Source organism: Homo sapiens, chromosome 2, assembly GCF_000001405.40.
Source record: "Homo sapiens chromosome 2, GRCh38.p14 Primary Assembly".
NCBI classification, from domain to species: Eukaryota; Metazoa; Chordata; class Mammalia; order Primates; family Hominidae; genus Homo; species Homo sapiens.
The window spans coordinates 38545187-38565001 of record NC_000002.12 but is presented as its reverse complement, the minus strand read 5'-3'; the positions used below and the strand labels follow the sequence as shown (position 1 = coordinate 38565001).

The 19815-nt window shown below is 38.1% G+C and overlaps 1 protein-coding gene across 7 annotated transcripts in view, besides 1 other annotated feature; it reads left to right on the top strand.

Annotated features, from left to right (window-relative positions):
• Positions 1 to 3033, top strand: part of HNRNPLL (heterogeneous nuclear ribonucleoprotein L like) — a 40960-nt gene extending 37927 nt beyond the window's left edge. For 6 of the 7 annotated variants that reach the window (NM_001142650.2, XM_005264640.4, XM_011533165.4 and 3 more), the window contains one exon: positions 765 to 3033. In NM_001142650.2, the coding sequence (NP_001136122.1) occupies positions 765 to 820 (56 nt within the window). In that variant the 3' untranslated portion in view covers positions 821 to 3033. Of the gene's footprint in view, positions 1 to 8; positions 358 to 764 lie in introns of those variants that run through there. The other variant, XM_011533166.4, reaches the window with a different exon arrangement.
• Positions 12421 to 12625: a silencer, noted in NCBI's record as "fragment chr2:38779519-38779723 (GRCh37/hg19 assembly coordinates)". NCBI's record gives its function as "represses an EF-1alpha promoter that drives an FKBP-Casp9 reporter gene in an ReSE screen in HepG2 liver carcinoma cells {active_cell/tissue: HepG2}" and the evidence as "EXISTENCE:reporter gene assay evidence [ECO:0000049][PMID:32094911]".

Genomic DNA, 19815 nt, shown 5'->3' with positions numbered 1-19815 from the left:
TTTTTCAGTAATTTCAAAACTTATGTACCCCATTGATGAAGAGAGATTTAATACTAGATTTCCTGGAACCTTTTGGGATCATAGATGTCTTCATGTACATTCCAGCTTTGACCTACTTCCCAAGCTGTATTTGAATTGGCTTTTATAGAGAGTTAACTGTTGGCAATATTTTTGCAATGTGAGCTTTGCTGCTTAATCCTGATACTATTTATTCTTTAATGATGAATTCACTAAAAAAAATTGAGTGCCAGACAGTGTTGAGAACAATAGAAATGTGGCAGTGAACAAAGTCCCTGCCTTCATGAGCTTACCTTCCAGTAAATATGAATAAAAATCTTTCCCTTACTTTACTTAGAAATTTTACTTTTTTTTTTTTTTTTTTTTTTTTGAGACGGAGTCTCACTCTGTCACCCAGGCTAGAGTGCACAATCTTGGCTTGCTGCAACCTCCACCTCCCAGGTTCATGCAGTTCTCCTGCCTCAGCCTCCTGAGTAGCTGGGACTACAGGCGTGCACCACCACACCCAGCTAATTTTTGTATTTTTAGTAGAGGCGGGGTTTCACTTCATTAGCCAGGCTGGTCTCGAACTCCTGACTTCAGGTGAGCCACCGCATCTGGCCAATTTTACTTCTTTATATTCCTGCTTTATATTCACCATATTTCTTATATTTAGTATAAAAAGGTGAAGTAATTTACTCTGATACTTCAAGGTGATCTTGAAAGTTTGATGAAGTGAAATATTAACTGTTTTTTACTTTTTACAGATGGTTCCAATCCCTATACATTGAAGCTTTGCTTTTCTACATCATCCCATTTATAAGAAGAGAAGAGCATGTTAGAATTTATGTTCACCTTTATTACAATTTCAAAGCTACACTTCATTAAAAAAAAATCTAAAATGGTTGATCTCATGTTGCCTTGCTTACTTTAAGATCCTGTTCTGTAATAAACATATTTTGCCTTGAGTAAATTTGTTGTAAGCTTAAATATTGAATTGTTTTCATTTTAAGATAGAATATCATAATGTAGACTATCTACAGCTTCATTGTAGATTATACAGATATATGATTTCTAACCTTATTACTGGAATTTTTCTTCCACAGTAAAAATATATTTGCATTCTTAATGCTAATTATCTGCAAGTATTTTTTCATTGTGTAAGAGATTAATGCAGGTGAAAGTATTGCATTTTAATATAGAATTCCTATTATATGTTTAGATGTTTAAGTATGTTGCAGTTACTCATATTAAACATAACTTGTATATTTATTATTTTAATGAAGTTTGAGAATAACGTTACATATGTTGAATTTTAAGTACTACAGATTTAACTGATTTTATATTTCTGAAAGGCTAACAGACATGGATACACGTGTACAGTATGCATTCAAACTTATTTAAATTGGTGTATTTTTTTTTAAGTCACTGTCCATTTGTATTGACATGCCTCTGTTTCTAGTCCAGTTTGGAGATTTTATAAAGTTATAACAATGAGTTAATGTGTTCATTTTCATTTGTTGCATGTGACTTAAATACAGCTAGTATTTGGCATTGAGATTTTAATAGAGGTTATAATTAACAGTTCCTCTTATAGATAATAATCTGGGATCCATGGGTGGGCTTCAGAGAATCTGTGTACCCCCTAAAATTGTATGTAGAATTTTGGATATTTACATTTTTATTTTTTAACTCTTGGATCCATCAGTAATATGTATTTTTCTATATGGTACAAGATTTAAGGATCTAATTTTATTTTTATTCCAAACAGATAGCTATTTGTCTCAATACCATTTATTAAACATTCTTTCTCCCACTGGATCTGTTTTTTTTTTCTTTTTAAGATAATAGATTTTATACATAGGCAAGTAAGATTTAAGGACCAAACATGGTATTAAGAGACTATAGCACGATTGTTACCAAGTTCACAGCTTTTTTACAATAGAAAAACTGATGTGGCCATTTTGTTTTCATCTTTAAAAGAAGGGAGAATATGTGTCATCTACCTAGAATAACTGATATCAGTAGTTGACAATATCAGTTTTGTAATCCTGACACTTTTAAACAAATTTGTAAATGAAAGTTCCATTTAGATCTTTTGTAAAGACTTTATTTTAAATTTTAATATAAAAAATCCTTTTAGAAATAAGGCAGGCATTTACAATTTTAGAGCTGTTTAATAGGAAGTTTAGATGGAAACTAAACACACATTAACATTTATTTCCCCTCATTTTGATGGCAGTGGACCAGCATTTAGCCCTCTAAAGATAAAGAAAAAATTAAATTTAATCTAGAAGTATTTTAGACCCTTATCACAGAACCCAGTAAGTTATGCCAAGGGTAACTGTGTGAACTGTGTTCGATACTGGGCTATGTATGTTTCTTATTCATTGCCAATTTAATACCTAAGTTTATCTAACTTTACAATAAAGCTTTTTTTCCCCTATAAATACTTTTCTACCTCTTTTGAAAAATTGAAATACCTTAATTTTGGTTTATGTAATAGTTGTCTACGTTCCTTCCTCCTCTGAAAATTAATGTGGGTTGTCAGAATTACAGACTTTTTAATGCCTAAGATTTTAAGAAATAAACCTGTAGGTGTTGGCAGGACTTATTTCATTTAGATTTTAATTAGTTTAGATGTGTAGAAATGATTTTTATCTGTAAGGCTCTCTCTCCACCAAAATAAGTGAATTGTTTGGGAGTAAACTAGTTGGTAAGTTGGGCCTTGCTGATAGATTTATACACTGGTGTGTAAGCCCTATACTGCTGCTGTCACTAATGTTTTTGATAGTTTACTTAGGCATGACTGCTGTTAATGAAGTTTGCTTTGTGAATACTCTCTCTTTCCTTAGCCTTGGCAACATTCTTCTCTGTGCTATCTTTATGCTTTTAGAAGAACTAGAAAAAGCAGATTTAAGAACTGTAAAGAAATAATACTAGCTTTGAGTTTTTAAAAAAAATATTGAAATCCCATCTCTGTATCCAAATCCTACTACACATTTGATAATAAATCTGCCAAACTGAGTTATGGAATATGAGCTGCCTTTTAAAATCCTTATTCTCCTGCTGAAGGTGTTACCTCACCAAATAAAAATATTTGCAGCTGCAGCCAACATGAGACTTTGCAAACATCCTAGTGATTTGGTTATCTCAACTATGTCTTGAACAGAACTGAGAAGAGGGGAAAAAAATGACTAAATGGGGTGAGTTGTTTCATATTTTCTTTACAGATAGGCTGCTACAGAACTGCAAAGTAGCTATCAGTGATACTTTCTCTGGAATAAAGAAATTTTGATTGTAGAACATTCTCCCATACTTAGGAATCTGAAGCACAAGGAGCTTTGCTTCACTTAAAGGTAACAAAAGTGCTTGTAAGATAACAGCGATGAACTTCCTATCTCCATATGGTTGTTTGGTCTAAGAGACTTTTAGTCCACTGTGGCCTTTCTCTTCATAGTACTGCGGCTCTGCTCATGATGATTTTCAGTGTCAACCAAAAAGTAAGTGAATGTGCAGGCATGAATACTGTTTAAACCAAAGAAATTATTTGGGATATTAAATCTGTGGATATTTGGGATTTAAAATAATGGATATTTAATCCGTAGTATCATTGCTTTTGCCTAAAACGTAGCATTTCCATCAAATGGATTCAAATGTTGATTAAAACCTAATATATTTTATTTAGCAAAATACCGTCTTCTAGGGATCTTAGTTCTAATGTTTTTTTGAACTTGAACAAACAAAATGGACTTTGCTTTACTAGTTACTTTCATAGAAAGCCCTTCATTCGAGGGAACACTTGAAATTCTCTTAGTTTTAATTTATAAATGAGGAAGGTAGTAATGTTGGATATTGTTTTCTCTATCCTCCATTCCACCCTCCCCTATTTTGTAGCAGTAATCAAGGTTTGAGTGAGCCTCATTGACTTAGCCTCATCACTCTTAGTACCTCTTAATAAGGGCAGCAGGTCCTCCTAGAGGGGTATTTTGACAGTTTGTAGGGGTGTTTCTTCAGTGGTTAGGGGACACTGCAAACAATTTGATGGGTAGGACCAGGAAGAATTATCCCTTGTCCTGCATGACTTTCTGATTTCCTATCAGATACTTAAATAGGTAAAAAACCTGTTTATAATGATCTGATCCTCGAGTCTGACTTTTTAATATATTAATGCAAAATATTTTTGTGTGGTTTTAATATGCAGTACACTGAATTTTTAGCAATACAACTACCTTATAAATCAAGGAAATAATGTTTAGAATGCTTTCAAGAGTTGTTCGCCATTTTGGAAAATTATATCATCAACATATTATTGGGATTGCCATTATAATACACAAGGGTCAGTTTTCATTTGTAGCTGTCACATTCATCTCTGTCTTCTGTTGTAGCCGTACCTGAGTATTTATGTATTACAACGTACATTTTATCGTAAATTTTATTTCTCCCTTAACAATTAAGAGTTTTATTTGGTTTTTCTTTAAGTTGTGTGTGTCTGTGTGTAGGTAGGTATTATCTAGGAATTTTATTTCAGCAGAGTAAAAGGATATCAGATTGGGTGGGGAACCATTGCTGTAAACAAGGTAATAATCTGATTCTGTGTTGAACAGGTAACCTAGGTTGATCCAAAGAGAATGACACCTAGGATTTGTTGAAGAATGGATGAGGAAGTGCTCTCGCTAAGGGGTGTGGTCTGCCTGTGTAAGGTTAGGCCTGGGACTGTTATAGCCATTTTGCTGTCTTGAGGGAAACTACCTAGTAGAGAAAAATGGAATACACAGTGGAAACCACCTTGAGCATAGGCTAGTTTGGTATTTCGTGCAAAATACACCCATCTTCAGAGTTCTCTTTTGAGTTTGAAAACACAACCTATGTATTTTAAGGGTCTCCATTTGCCTAAATCTCATCTTTAGCAGTTTAATCTACAAACAGCACAATCAAATGAAAGCACTGACAATTGTTTGACAAAAGGCCCAATTTTTTTTTTTTTTTTTTTTTTTTTTTGAGACAGAGTCTCACTGTTGCTCAGGCTGGAGTGCAGTGGTGTGATCTCCACTCACTGCAAGCTCCGCCTCCTGGGTTCACACCATTCTCCTGCCTCAGCCTCCCGAGTAGTTGGGACTACAGGCGCCCACCACCACGCCCGGCTAATTTTTTTGTATTTTTAGTAGAGACGGGGTTTCACCATGTTAGCCAGGATGGTCTTGATCTCCTGACCTTGTGATCTGCCCACCTCGGCCTCCCAAAGTGCTGGGATTACAGGCGTGAGCCACTGCGCCCAAAAAGGCCCTATTTTAAACATGATTTATCTTTGTCTTTTTGCCAACCGTAGGCTTTATTTTTTTTGTAACTCTTTTATGTTTAAACTTTTTGTTTTGTAGAGATGGGGGTCTTGCTATGTTGTCCAGGCTGGCCTTAAACTCTTGGCCTCAAATGATCCTCCCACTTTAGCCTCCCAAAGTGCTGGGATTACAGGCAAGAGACTGTACCTTGTACTCTTCTGTCAGATACCACAAAGTTTAGACATAGATGTAATATTTATGGACACTTACTGAAAGTATTGTGTGTTGATTTGTTAATGGCTCGTTTAAGAGTTTCTAAAATTTAATGGGCAAAAATTACATATATGGGGTATAATGTATACATTATGGAATGGCTAAATCAAGTTAATTAACATATCCACTGCCTTACATACTTATTTTTTGTGGTGAGAACATTTAAAATCAACTCTAGGGTCGTTTAATTTTTAAGAGCAGAAAGCTTATTTATATGTAACTTAGAAATCATCTCTACTGTATACATTAAACCCTTGTAAGTGATACAGAACTGCTAATAAAGTAAAATTACTGAATTAGTGGCAGTCTCTGATTTGGAAACTTTGACAGCTCCCTTGTGGGGTGACACAGTAATCAGGCTAAGCTACAGAGCAACCTTGAAAGGTTTGCTTTGAGTTGAGTTGATAATTGTAATCTGGTCATCATTTATTTTTTCCTTTTTTTTCTCCCTAGTAATACCAAAAGAAATTAAGAAGCAATGTTATTTTTTTTTTTTTTCTGGGAAGTAATCATAGTTTAATGAGAGCCCGGAAAACAGTAAATGGCCTGAAAGACTTTCGTTGTTACCATAATTTTAGTATAGCTTATTAAATAACAATACCAGTGGTATAGCTTGGGAGTGTGAAACTTGATTACAACTTAACGATTGTGAAGTTTAGGTTATTAAGGTGATTTTTGGATGTGACTTTATGTGAAACACCCTTTTCTTCGGAGAGTAGGGGAAGAAAAACAAGGTAGATAGATAATGCCGGTGCTGCACGGGGATATTTAGCAGTGCTTCTCGACAGTTAGGAGAGTAACGTTTTATTTTGTGGGGAGATGATTTCATGACTAGCAAAAAGGATCATGTGGGGAACTTTTAAAAAATACTGATATCCCAGATAATCTGCAGAATCTGACTTAGTTGTACTATGTGTGTATATATTCAAAACAAATTTTATTATCCATTGATTTCCATTTAAAATATTTGATTTTTGATGTCACAAAGCATGAATGTAAAGTAGATAAGATTATTTTCGTTGCAGCTTAGAAATTCAAAGAAATAATGACAATTTTAAACCAAAAAACCTTCAGTTTCTACAAAAACCATATCAGAAGTGTCACTTGCAACGATTTGGCTTCTTGGATATTTCAGTCATTTATTCCAGCTTCTATCAAGTGCACTTAGTATGCCAGACAATACAAGTTCAGGCAGATGGTTAGCTTTAAAAAGTCAGTAGGTTAATTTGAGCTTAGAAGGGAAGCAACGGAGAAATGGCTAAGCCTTCTTTCTAAATATGAGGCAGACTATTTCCTAAATTCTTAAGAGGAACTGAAAATTGATTAGGGAGTCTTTAGTCTTTGAGTAATATAATCTGAATCTTTTAGCTTTTATGAATTCCACTATAAGATGAAAAAATAAGGTCAAGGAATGATCAGCACTTGTGGTGGAGGCGCGAAGGCTGTATAATCATTCCGTTTCACAAATTGGGGATGAGAGACCCAGATTTTTTTGATCTGCCCAAGTTTAACAAAGTAAACGGGGATATAATGACTTGAATCTAGATGTTAATACTCAAAATCTTACACAAAAGCCCTTTTGAGTCATTGAAATAATTGGCTTTTCTCAGTGAGTAGAAGTATTAGCTGTAGTAGCCTAAGCAATGTTAACTGCTTTGGTAAATGATTAGAAAGCAAAATTCTGGTTGCCAGCTGGGGGTAATGGAGGTGTGATTGCTATTGGCTACAAGATATATTTTAGGTGATTAAAATGTTCTGAACTAGATAGTGGTGATGGTTGTACACCTTGTGAATGCACTAAATGCCACTGAATTGTATACTTTAAAAGTTAAAATAGTAATTTTATTTTGCTACAGTATTTTACTACAGTAACAAAGTAGGTCTAGCCCAGCAATCCTTTCCTTTAAATAAGGGCTAATATGGGTCTGCAAGGCTTAAATGTAGCCGGTTAGATACATTGGGGAAGGTGTGTAGGGAGAATCTGTTGAGTTAGTTCACTCCCACACCAGCAGGAGATGGGATCCTGAGTCTGGTTTATGATTGTATTGCTAGGGTGGCTGGCTACTTCTGGTCACCTTGGACTATGGGACAAGAGATTAGAGCCAGGGAAGAGAGCCCACTGAGGTCTTGTGCACAGTGAACGGTTAGGAAAGAGGATTTGAGGGTGGGGAGGGGATGATTCCATGAATGGAAAATAGAATTTCTCTTGTGTTCCTAAGCCTGAGTAATGCTTTGGTTGCTTAGTTTACAGACTTTATCCTAACTAATTTTGAGCTACTCTCACTGAGTCTCAGCCTGCAGGAGGATCTATTCATGAATATACTCACATTTTCTTGAAAAATTAAGAGACTATTTTAACCAGTTTACCCAGTTTCATTTAGACTTTGGCACACATGCTAACGTATATACATAGCTGCTTCAAAGTCTTGAAGAGGAATTCAATAAGAGACTGATTTATATAGACAAAAATCCATAAAAACAAAAATTATGTGTGCAGTGTATTTATAAATCCTTTAGAGGGTTTTAGGAATCTTCTGGAAAAAAAAAATGTAAAATGAGATAGCTAATGCGTGTTGTTTTATGCACCTGTATGATACATAATAAAACCTCAGATTTTTCTGCCTAACAAAATTGAGAGGACTGATGCCAGTATCAGCCACCTCAGTCATGGTAGAGGTTTTCTTGCTAGACTGTTAGAAGGGTAAGTAATATTTATATGACTGTTGCCAATACAAATTCAAGCTCGTCCTACAAAGACCTAGTATGATCACTTATCCCACAATATTTCTCAGCAAGGCACTAGTATTTGAGCCAAAATTTCCACCACTTGACCAAAAAGACTAAAATAGCTCCACACCTGTTGTACCTCCTCCTGCTGTGTAATAACCCTTTGCTCCCTGCAGTTTTGCTTCTTAAACACTCGACTCAGGATCAGTAAAACCTGTTATTTTTGTTTATTTATGTTTCTGAGGAAGGTAAGACTGCTTTGGCAAATTATTGCCATTATGTGTGAATGAAGGCCACATGGTTTATAAACTGTAGAGCAAGACACTGAAAGTGCACAGGGAATAGATGGAGTCCCATCCTCAACCTACTTGCCACCAGGTGGGACACATGGGATGGAGCTCAGGGCCGTGTAATGGGTCATGATGCTCTTCCAACGAAGAATATGTGGCAGGGTACAGCGGAAAGGGCAGAGACTGAGGGGCAAGGCCTGGATTTTAGTAACTTCTGTCACTATTTGGTCTTGGGCAACCCATTTCCTAGGTCTAGTTCCTCATCTGTATAATGTAGAAGTTAGGCTACATGGCATGGTTTGTTAAGAATGCAGTTCTATTCCATACTTTTTCTGATTCTTTTCTGGCTCAGCAGTTAACACGTGTGGTAAGGGGCTGCTGAAGTTCTTTGGATAAAATAGGTAAAACTGCTATTGAGTAAAGGTTTTATTCTTGCCTGAATTATCCATATAGGGTTCTTAAATTGATCAAGTTAATATAATATTATGTTTGTTACCTAGTAAGTTTGCATTTTAGCAACAATCTTAGTGAATAAAAGAAAGGATCAGACTGCCTGCCAGTTGCCTGCATCATGAAAAATGCTCATGTGAGGCTCCTTAAAGCTGGTAGAGGTCAGAGAGAGAGGTCGGACTGGGAACTTTGTATCCCAGTCTATGGGAAGATAGCTGAGGAAATGGTTGTTAAGCAGCAGTGGTTCCATCCCATGGGATTCCCAATTGACATCAACTACCTCCTCTTAGTCAAGTTATGGGTAAGGTGGATGGGGGCAGGATATAGATAGAATGGGTTGCTATGATGCAGGGAGTGAAATCAGTGTTTGCACACCTAGGTATTGGATTTGGATATCTCAAAAGCTGTGTTCTTCAAAGACTGGCCTTTCTGAGCTTGAAGAAATCTGGAGTATACCAGATCCTAAAGACTTGGGAGGAAGAGACGCAATAATTACTCCCCCTGCAGTCATGGTGGCTTTGAGAAAAATCTGAACAGAGCATTTATAGTCAGAAGAAAGTCTCACTATGCCATTGGCCATCTAGTGGTGAGAGGGAGTGATCTTAGGCATTTAAAAAATGAATTGGTCAGCTGCAATGCTTGTAATCCCAGCACTTTTGGAGGCCAAAGTGGGAGTATCACTTAAAGCCAAGAGTTCAAGACCAGTCTGGGCAACATTGCGAGACCCTGTCTCTACAAAAGTTAGCCAGGTGTGGTGGCGCACGCTCATAGTCCCAGCTACTCGGGAAGCTGAGGTGGGAGGATTGCTTGAGACCAGGAGGTCGAGGCTGCAGTGAGCCAAGATCGTACCACTGCTCTCCAGCCTGGGCAACAGAGCAAGACCCCATCTCAAAAAAACCAAAACAGGTTAAATAGGAAAGACGTTGCTGGGAAGACTTGGATTGTAGTCTATTGTCTGGATTATGGTCATACTATTATCAACTAGAAATCCTGATTTGACCATGTATACATCTCGCCAGCTCCCAAAGATTCTTGGAAGAAGTATCTTTGTGCTGGCAGACAGCTGCTGGTTATCCTGCGGGAAAGAGTAGTATTTTTCATTTAAGGCACAGTTTATAAAGTAGCCCAAGATAATGTGGTGGAGTTAAGAAGGGACAGAGATAACTCATTCCATTCTGGTCATTTTGGATGAGCCTAAAATAATTCCCAATAATTTTGAGAGAGTGTTGTGTAGTAGAACACTGGGTTAGGACTTTGTGAGACCTGGCTGCTTATCCCAGCTCTGCCGCTAATGAGCTGTGTGACTGGGAGCAAGTCATTTAAGATGACTGTTAAACATTAGATTCCTTTCGTGTAAAACGGGAATAGCAACAATACCTGAGGACCAACTGATCTCATAATGAAATACTACGTAGAAAAGTACTTTTGGTGACATTCAATACAAATCTCTAGAAGAGATAAGGGTATTCCAGAGAGTCCCTATGCTACCACAATAGGAGATATCAACTGCCACAATCCAATCATTGCCATTGTGAATCTGTGGTTTTTCTGCAATACAAATGGATTTTATAGATTAAAAAGTCTAGCTCAGGTACTAGAAAATAACAGCAAGTTGGCAATTCAAATTACCCCAACCTGCCTGGACAGCTTTTTCTAAGAGATGGGGTCTCCCTATTTTGCCCAGGCTGGAGTGCACTGGTTATTCATAGGTGCAATCATAGCGTGCCGCATCCTTGAACTCCTGGGCTCAAGCGATCCTTCTTCCGTAGCCTCTGGAGTAGCTGGAACCACAGACACAATGCTACTGCACCTGGCTTTTGTTTTTTCTTATAGATTTGCTGGACGGCCACAGTGGCTCACACCTTGCCTATACTTTGGAAGGCTGAGGTGGGAGGATCACTTGAGCCCAGGAGTTTGAGACCAGCCTGGGTAACACAGTGAGTCCCCATCTCTACAAAAGAAATCAGCTGGGTGTGGTGGTGTGTGCGTGTAATCCCAGCTGCTTGGGAGGCTGAGGTAGGAGAATTGCTTGAGCTCAGAAGGTTGAGGCTGCAGTGAGCTGTGATGGCACCACTTCACTCCAGCCTACACAATAGAGCAAGACCCTGGCTCTCATAACACACACACACAAAAGACTTGCCTCATTCATATAACATCAGTAAAAACCCTCCTAAATTCTAAAGGCAGGCAAAGTTAATATCATTTTAGGATTATATTCCTGTAATCCTAGCACTTTGGGAGGCTGAAGTGGGAGGATCGCTTGAGCCCAGGAGTTTGAAACCAGCCTGGGCAATGTAGTGAGACCCCATCTCTATTAAAAAAATTTTTTTTTAATTTTAACCTTGAGGTTTAAGGGAAATTTATTATAGAACTTTTGGTATTGTATATATATATATAAGTTATATTTGTATACGCAGCTTATGGTAGATGGACATTCCTTATATAACCAAGATATGGTACATAAAGGCCCTTTTATTTTTAATGAGTATGGAATTTTCCAGAGACAACATAAGAGTTTTAATATTATGTTGGCCATATGTGTGGTTTATTTGACATGATACCCCCTTGGCCAGGACCCCTCATCATATTGCTGTTCATATGGGAAAACACAATTTAATTTCTAATGATTCAACTTAGCATTTTTTTCCCAGGAACTCACTGGCATGACTACCTGCCTGAATATTTCTGGCCAGCACTCTTTGTGGAGATACAGAGTTTGATAAGTTTGTTTTCTGGTCTGTGAATAAGTACTTCACAGGTGTTTGAAAAGTGCCAACTAGATTATCATAAACAGTCCCTGTCCTTCTTAGTTCTGTCAGTCTGGATTTGATAGGTTTCTTTTCTCGACTGTAACATTTCTAGGTTGATGAGTCTCAATTTTCTTTTTTTTTTCTATCATTTTTAGTTTCTTCTAATTAAGTAGCTCTTCTTTCATCAACACCCCAGGATTTTTTCCATCATTTAGTTGTCCACTTTTTGGGGTTTTTGAGATTCTCAGATGTGGCAAACAAACAGAACTGTCTGCCAGTGGCAGACCCTACTCCAGTTTTCGATAAGCATAGGAAACTGTTTTCCATTTTGGTTTCCATATCCTTCTAAAGAAGGTGCCGAGGGGAGGAAGCATAGGACTTAGCAAAGTCAAAAATCCTGGATTTGCGTCCTATGCTGCCCTTTATCAGCCATATGAGCCTGAACAAGCCCTAACGATGGTGTGAGCCTCAGTTTTTTGTTAATCTGTAGAATAGTGATAATATCTCTCTTATTTATCTTATTTGTTAATTAAACCCAAATTAAATGGCATAGAGTAGGCCTTGGGTACCACTGCAGTAACTCCATTTTTTTCTGTTTTTTTGTTAAAACAGTCATTTGTCTCTGAACTCTGTAACGGCAGGGAACTCTGTATTTCCTTTCCCCTTCCTGTCAGCACCTTGCCCATGTAGTCATGGTCTCTATGTAAAGTTGTTCTCACAGATGAGAACTGCCTCCATTTGTGCCAAAGCCACAGGGTGACCCTGCCTGACTTTGTGACTGAGATGAAGGAGCAAGCATGCTGTCAAAGGGAAGATAACACCAATCTAGAAGGAAGTTACAATACTGAAGACCACAGAATCAAGATTAAAAACTCTCGACAGGCTGCAGCCCTGGGTTGGAAACAAGGTGAAACCTAATTGAGATCAGAAAATGTTCCTTGTTTAAGTTGACTATTAATAATTATAGCTGACATTTATTGAGTACTTGCATGTTAGGCATCCTGTTAAATATACATGTTAAGTAATTCTTATGACAGATGAGGCTGAGGCCATTATTATAAAGATGGGGAAATGTAAAGTAAGCTGTTCAATCTTGCTCAGCCATTAGATGGTGAAACTAGGATTCTAAACCCTGAGGTTTGGTTCCAAAGCAGACACTCTTAACTCTTATAATAACAGCCCCCCAAAATAATGTCCCACCAAAGATATCCACATCCTAATCCTCAGCCCCTGTAAATATGTTACCTTCATGACAGAAGGGACTCTGCAGAAGTGAGTAAGGGTTACCGACCTTTAGATGGGGAAAGTTTCCTGGGTTATCTAGGTGGCCCGATCTAATCATATGAACTCTTAAAAGTGAGAAACTTTCCTCTCTTCTTTAAGAGAAGAGGAGATGGAAGGAGAGATTCAAAGCATGAGGAGAACTGCCTGCTGTTGCTGGCTTTGAAGGTAGAAAAAGGGGGCTGCAAACCAAGGAATGTGGGCAGCTTCTAGAAACTGGAAACAGTCCTCAGCTGACAGCCAGCAGGTAAATTCAGTCCTGTCACTGTCAGGAACTGAATTCTGCCAACAAGCTGAATGAACAAGGAAATGTCTTCTCCCCTAGAGCCTCCGGAAAGCAGCCAACACCTTGATTTTCTTTGTGTGCACTTATACATTTCTTGTGAAACTTTCTTCTAGAGGTTTTATATTTTTTTGTTATTGTGAATTGAATCTTTTTTTTCCGTTTTATTTTCTAACTAGTAATTGCTAGTATAGCGTAAGGCTATTGAATTCAAAATATGTCTCTTTTATTCTTCTACTGAATTTTCTTACTCATCCTGATAATTTTTCAGTTGATTCTCCTGGATTTTCTTAGATAGGCAATTGCATCATCTGCAAATAATTACATGTTGTTTCTTCCTTTCCAATATTTAAACCTGTCACTTGGTTCTTGTTTTTTTCCCATTGACCGCTGGCATTTTAAAACAGCTGTTTGATGCCAGAGACATTTTGACACAGCCTAAACACAAATCATTAAATAATCTTTGTGTTTCCAAAATGAAATAATAGTAGCTAATACATATCAACTGCCTTTTTTGAGCCAGGTAGGTTCCAAGTATTAATATCTTGTATATTAATTTATTTAATTCTTACCGCAACCTCATGAGGTTGTTATTATATTCCTTTTAATGACAGGCAAACAGGAGCAAAGACATCAAGCAGTTTGTTGAAGGTTTAACAAGGAGGTGGTGCTCAGACTTGAACCCAGGCAATTTTGTTCCCAAGGTCATACTCTCAACTACTATTCAAAATTGCTTCTAAGTGAATAAAATGAAATGGCAATCTTGCTTTTTCTGATTGTAAAAGTAAGACATGCTTATTAGAAAAGATTCAGTCAAAAAGATTTAAACAAAAGGAAAATCACCTCCCCACTATCATTTTTTCATTGCTGCAGAGTATCCCACTGTGAGATGGAATGGTAACTTACTTCATCAATCCCATGCTGATGGGTTTTTGCCATACAGCTTTTCTTAGTTTTATTTTTCTGTAGTTTTCTTTTTTTTGTTGTTACTCTCTGCCTATGCTTACCCATCATATAGCTTTTCAAGCACCCATTTATGTGCTCATGATACTTCCTGAACTGGAGTTTCTCAGTCGAAAAGAGTAATCACATTTCACATTTTGACAGAATTGCCAAATTGCACCCCTCAATTCAAGAAATGGCCTATTAAATTTTATTAACCTTATAGGTGAAAAATGTTATTTTCACATATTTTAGCCATCTTTATTTTTCTATTGGGTGCTCATCTTTTTATTGATTTGTAATTACTTTTTCATTCTTTTTATATAAGGGCAATTCTGTCTGATGTTGCAGTTTTTAATTTTTACTTTTATATTGGTTTGCCATTATAGGAGGATTATAGAAATTGGCTGAGCGAGGTGGCTAATGCCTGTAATTCCAGCACTTGGGGATGCTGACGTGAGAATCGCTTGAGGCCAGGAATTCAAGACCAGTCCGGACAACACAGGGAGAGCCTATCTCTACAAAAAAAAAAAAATTTAAAAACATCAGATCTCCCTATGCTGTCCAGACTGGTCTTGAACTCCTGGCTTCAAGCACTTCTCACTTCAGCATGATGGTGCATGCCTATAGTCCCAGCTACTTGGGAGGCTAAGGTGGAAGGATCACTTGAAGTCAGGCAGTTGAGGTTACAGTGATCATGTCACTGCATTCCAGCCTGGGTGACGAAGCAAGACACTGTCTCTTAAAAAAGAAAACAGTCATCTACACTTTCTTGTATATCTTTACAAACGACAATGTTTTAAAATTACTAATTTGAGTGAACCAGGCCCCACCTTTCAGCCTCCCTCCCTTCCTTAGACGTAAGAACTCTGCAGCCACACTGGATGGCACGAAGGGTCAGGACTGCTACTTTGGGTTATTACTTGGTAATTCAAAACTATTTTGACCTCTAGATAAATGTTGTGGATTGCACACTTGTGCAAAAAATAAGCATGCTTTAAATCCAACTAAGATAGAAGAAACCAGCAAATTAGTGATGTCAACAAACTGAAAAATGTGAAGCCAATGAAAAATGGAAAGTAGCCTGCAGAGAAAATGCCAGTAGGCATGCCAGTTTACAAAGTTTACTCTGAAAGGTTCAGGAATCGGAACCTTTCAGTCGCGTTAACTAGCTGGAGGTGAGAGGGGCTCATAACAGAGTCTTGTTGAAAGAACATAAGGAAGACTTAAAACCACAGATTCCTTTCCATATCTGACCCTGCCAGATGGCTACCTCTCCCTTACCTCCGAACAAGAAAGGAAGCTTATTTTCTTGAGAAATTCAAGTAGAGAAGCATCAAATTCAGAAACAAAGGCAGAGAGAATGAGCGCTGAGGCACCGTTCTGAAAATGAAAATGAAGTGCAAATCTACATATGGAAGACTGAGACTGCCCACCCTCATTCTTCTTGCTCCCTCCTTCCAACTAGGCTCCCAGAATTCTGGCAATCAGCTTATAGCTCATTAAGCAGATTGGAGGATTTTTCTCTGGAGAAGCTGTCTAGCCAAAGGCAAAAATACTACAGATTCTGACATTTTAAGGGTTTCTTGTTAAGTGGGCAGTTACAGTGATAGCTACTACTGAACCCTCCTTGCCCGTGCATGCAGAGCTGCTAATTGGCTTTTTAGTGTGTCCTTCTTAATTATGAATAGACTGCTAAAAATTAATCCTTTAACATGAAAGACAGAAACCTAGAGAAAACAGACTATGCAGGGAGCAGGAAAAAATTAAAAAGCAAAAACGTTTACCTTCTTCGAAGAGATGATTTTACATGAGTGAAATAAATATGGGATGCTTTTAAACAATAAAAACGGACAAAACCATAAAGAACTGTAAACGATAAAATTAAAAGATAATTAAACGATAAAAATTAAAAGAATTAAAAAGTCAATAGGCAACAAATAATTAGAAATAGGCTGGGCATGGTGGCTCACACCTGTAATCCCAGCACTTTGGGAGGCCGAGGTGGGTGGATCACTTGAGGCCAGGAGTTTGAGACCAGCCTGGCTAACATGGAGAAAACCTGTCTCTACTAAAAATGCAAAGATTAGCCTGGTGTGGTGGTGGGCATCTGTAATCACAGCTACTCGGGAGGCTGAGGCAGGAGAATCGCTTGAACCTGGAAGGCAGAGGCTGCAGTGAGCTGAGGTTGTGCCAGTGCCCTCCGGCCTTGGTGACAGAGTGAGGCTCCATCTCAAAACAACAACAAAAATAATTAGAAATAAAAAAATTTTAAAGATATGCAGGACCTGTACACTGAAAGACTATAAAACATTGCTTAGAGAAATTAAAGAAGACCTAAATAAATTGAGTGATATATCTTGTTCATGAGTCAGAAGACTCAATATAGTTAACATGTCAGTTATCCCTGAATTGACCTATAGATTTAATGCGATCTCTGTCAAGATCCCAGCAGGTCTTTTTTTTTTTTTTTTTTTTTTTAAGGTAGAAATTTATAAGCTGATTGTAAAAATTCATATGAAATGCAAAGGACCTAGAATAGCCAAAACAACTTTGAAAACAAACCAGAGTTGGAGTAAGTCTTAGTTTGGATGGACTGCTATAACAAAATACCACAAACTGGTAGCTTATAAACAGCATAAATTTATTTCTCTGTCTGAGGCTAGAGAGGCCAGGATCAAGGCATCAGCTGATTCCGGGTCTGGTGAGGGCCTGCTTCCTCATAGATGGCTGTCTTACTGTAACCTCACATGGCAGAAGGAGCAGGGATCTCCCTGGGACCTCTTTTATAGGGCACTAATCCCATTCATGAGGGTTCCACCTCAAAACTTATACAGCTATAGTAATCAAGACTGTGGTAGGTGTGTAAAATAAAAATAGATCAATGGGACAGAATATAGATATAAAGCCACACATATTGATAATGCATACTGATTTGTTACAAATATGAAAAGAAATGCAGTGGAAAAAGGACCCTCTTTTCAACAAATGTTGTTGGAACAACTGGAAATACATATGCAGAAAGACCCCTTCTAGCCATGTTCTGTTCCATATGCAACAATTAACTCAAGATGGGTGAAAGACTTAAATGCAAGAGCTAAAATTATGAATCTTATAGATGAAAACTTTTTGTGACCTTTTTTTGAGTAATGATTTCTTACAACACCAAAAACATTGGTCTATTAAAAAAATCCAAAACCCAAACTCATAAACTCAGCAAAATGTAAAACTTCTGCTCTAATAGAGAAGGAAAAGACAAGCTACAGATTAAGAGAAGATATTTGCAACATATATTTCTGATATAGGACTTGTATCTAGAAAATACAAAGAATTCTCAAAACTCAACAAGAAAATGACCCTATTAAAACTTGGCAAAAAGATTAGAATCTACATTTTACTGAAGAAGATACATAAAAGATGAATAAGCACATGGAAAGATGCTTAACATCATTATCCGTTAGTCATTAGGGAAATAGAAATGAAAACCACAATGAGATACCACTCTATATGTATTAGAATGGCCAAATTAAGACGACTGAGGCCGGGTGCGGTGACTCACGCCAGTAATCCCAGCACTTTGGGGGCCTGAGGCAGGTGGATCCCTTGTGGTCAGGAGTTTGAGACCAGGACCAGCCTGGCCAACATGGCAAAACCCCATCTCTACTAAAAATACAAAGATTAGCTGGGCATGGTGGCACCTGCCTGTAGTCCCAGCTATTCAGGAAGCAAGAGAATTGCTTGACCCCAGGAGGCGGAGGTTGCAGTGAGCCGAGATTGTACCACTGCACTCCAGCCTGGGCAACAGAATGAGACTCCATCCCAAAAAAAAAAACAACAAAAAAAGAAGACTGAGCATACTAAGTGATGGTGAAGATGTGGAGGAAATGAAACTCTCACATACTTTTCATAGGAATGTAAAATGGTACCACCACTTTGCAAAAGTAATTTGGCAGTTCCCAAAAGTTAAACCATATACCTACCATATGACCCAACCATTCACTCCTAAAGAAAGTATATGTCTCTACGATGACTCATACATAAATATTCACAGCAACTTTATCTGTAATAGCCCCAAACTGGAAACACCTAAGTGTCATCAAAAAGGAAATAAATAGGTTAGGTGCAGTGGGTCATGCCCAGCACTTTGGGAGGTGGGAGGCCAAGGGGGGGATGATTGGTTGAGACCAGGAATGTGAGACCAGCCTGGTCAACAGAATGAGACATCGTCTCTACAAAAAATAAAAAAAATTAGCCAGGCATGGTGGCATGCACCTATAGTCCCAGCTACTTGGGAGGCTGAGGTGGGTGGACTGCTTGAGCCCAGAAGTTTCAGGCTGCAGTGAGCCATGGTCATGCCATTGCACTCCAGCCTAGGTGACAGAGCAAGACCCCATCTAAAAAAAAGTGAATAAATAAACAAATTGTGGCATATCCTTAGTGTCACTTCATCCATGCCATAAACCTTTCCAGATTTAAGGGCACTCTACTTCCAAGGGGGAGAAGTGTCAAAATTATGTTGTAAGAAGAGCATGGGGGATAAGAGAGATTATAGCTACCATCTTTGGAAAATAAAATATGCCACAGTATGTGGTGTATGTCCTCTGGAAATACTGTTTTTATTTTTATATTTTTGAGACACAGTCTTGCTCTGTTGCCCAGGCTGGAGTGCAGTACAGCATAATCTCGGCTCACTGCAACCTCTGCCTCCTGGGCTCAAGGGATTCTTGTGCCTCAGCCTCCCGAGTAGCTGGGCTTACGGGTGCCTGCCTCCATACCTGGCTAACTTTTGACTAATTTTTGCATTTTTAGTAGAGACGGGGTTTCACCATATTGGACAGGCTAGTCTCGAACTCCTGACCTGAAGTGATCTGCCCACCTCGGCCTCCCAAAGTGCTGGGATTACAGGCGTGAGCCATAGTGCCCAGGCAGAGAAGTCCTACACCACGTGTCAAACTCGGAACACAAAGAATCACTGTCTTATTGCTTGGTACAGTACTCCTGTTTGTTGAGAGCCCATTTACTAGAGCAGCTCTGTTTGTGCTTAATGAAAGCTCTTTTCTGAGAGGCAACAGAGTGTGTTCTATCATAAATGAAGCGCTCTTCAAGAACTTCCTGAGCAAAAAAAAAAAAAAAAAAAAAAAAAAAAAATGCAGTATATGATGTGACTAGAGAATCAGATGTGAAAAACTAGTTAGCTTAGGCCATGACTTCTCATCAGGGCTACCATTTCCAGTGGAGTATTTCTGGTTGCCAGTTGTATCTGTGCATAATGTGGCCAAAGTTTTTAGCATTGTTTAGTTCTCCTATAACCACTAGACTTTTCTGGAAGGTGCTCGCTCTCTTGATGGAGATATTGCAAATGGACCACAGAAATTGGGCCCAAGTGGCTATTAAACTAGTTCCTTAATTTGAAAATAATCAAAGCGTAAGAAATAAACATTCAGGCTGGGTGCGGTGGCTCATGCCTGTAATCCCAGCACTTTGGAAGGCCAAGGTGGTTGGATCACTTGAGGTCAGGAGTTCAAGACCAGCATGGCCAAAAT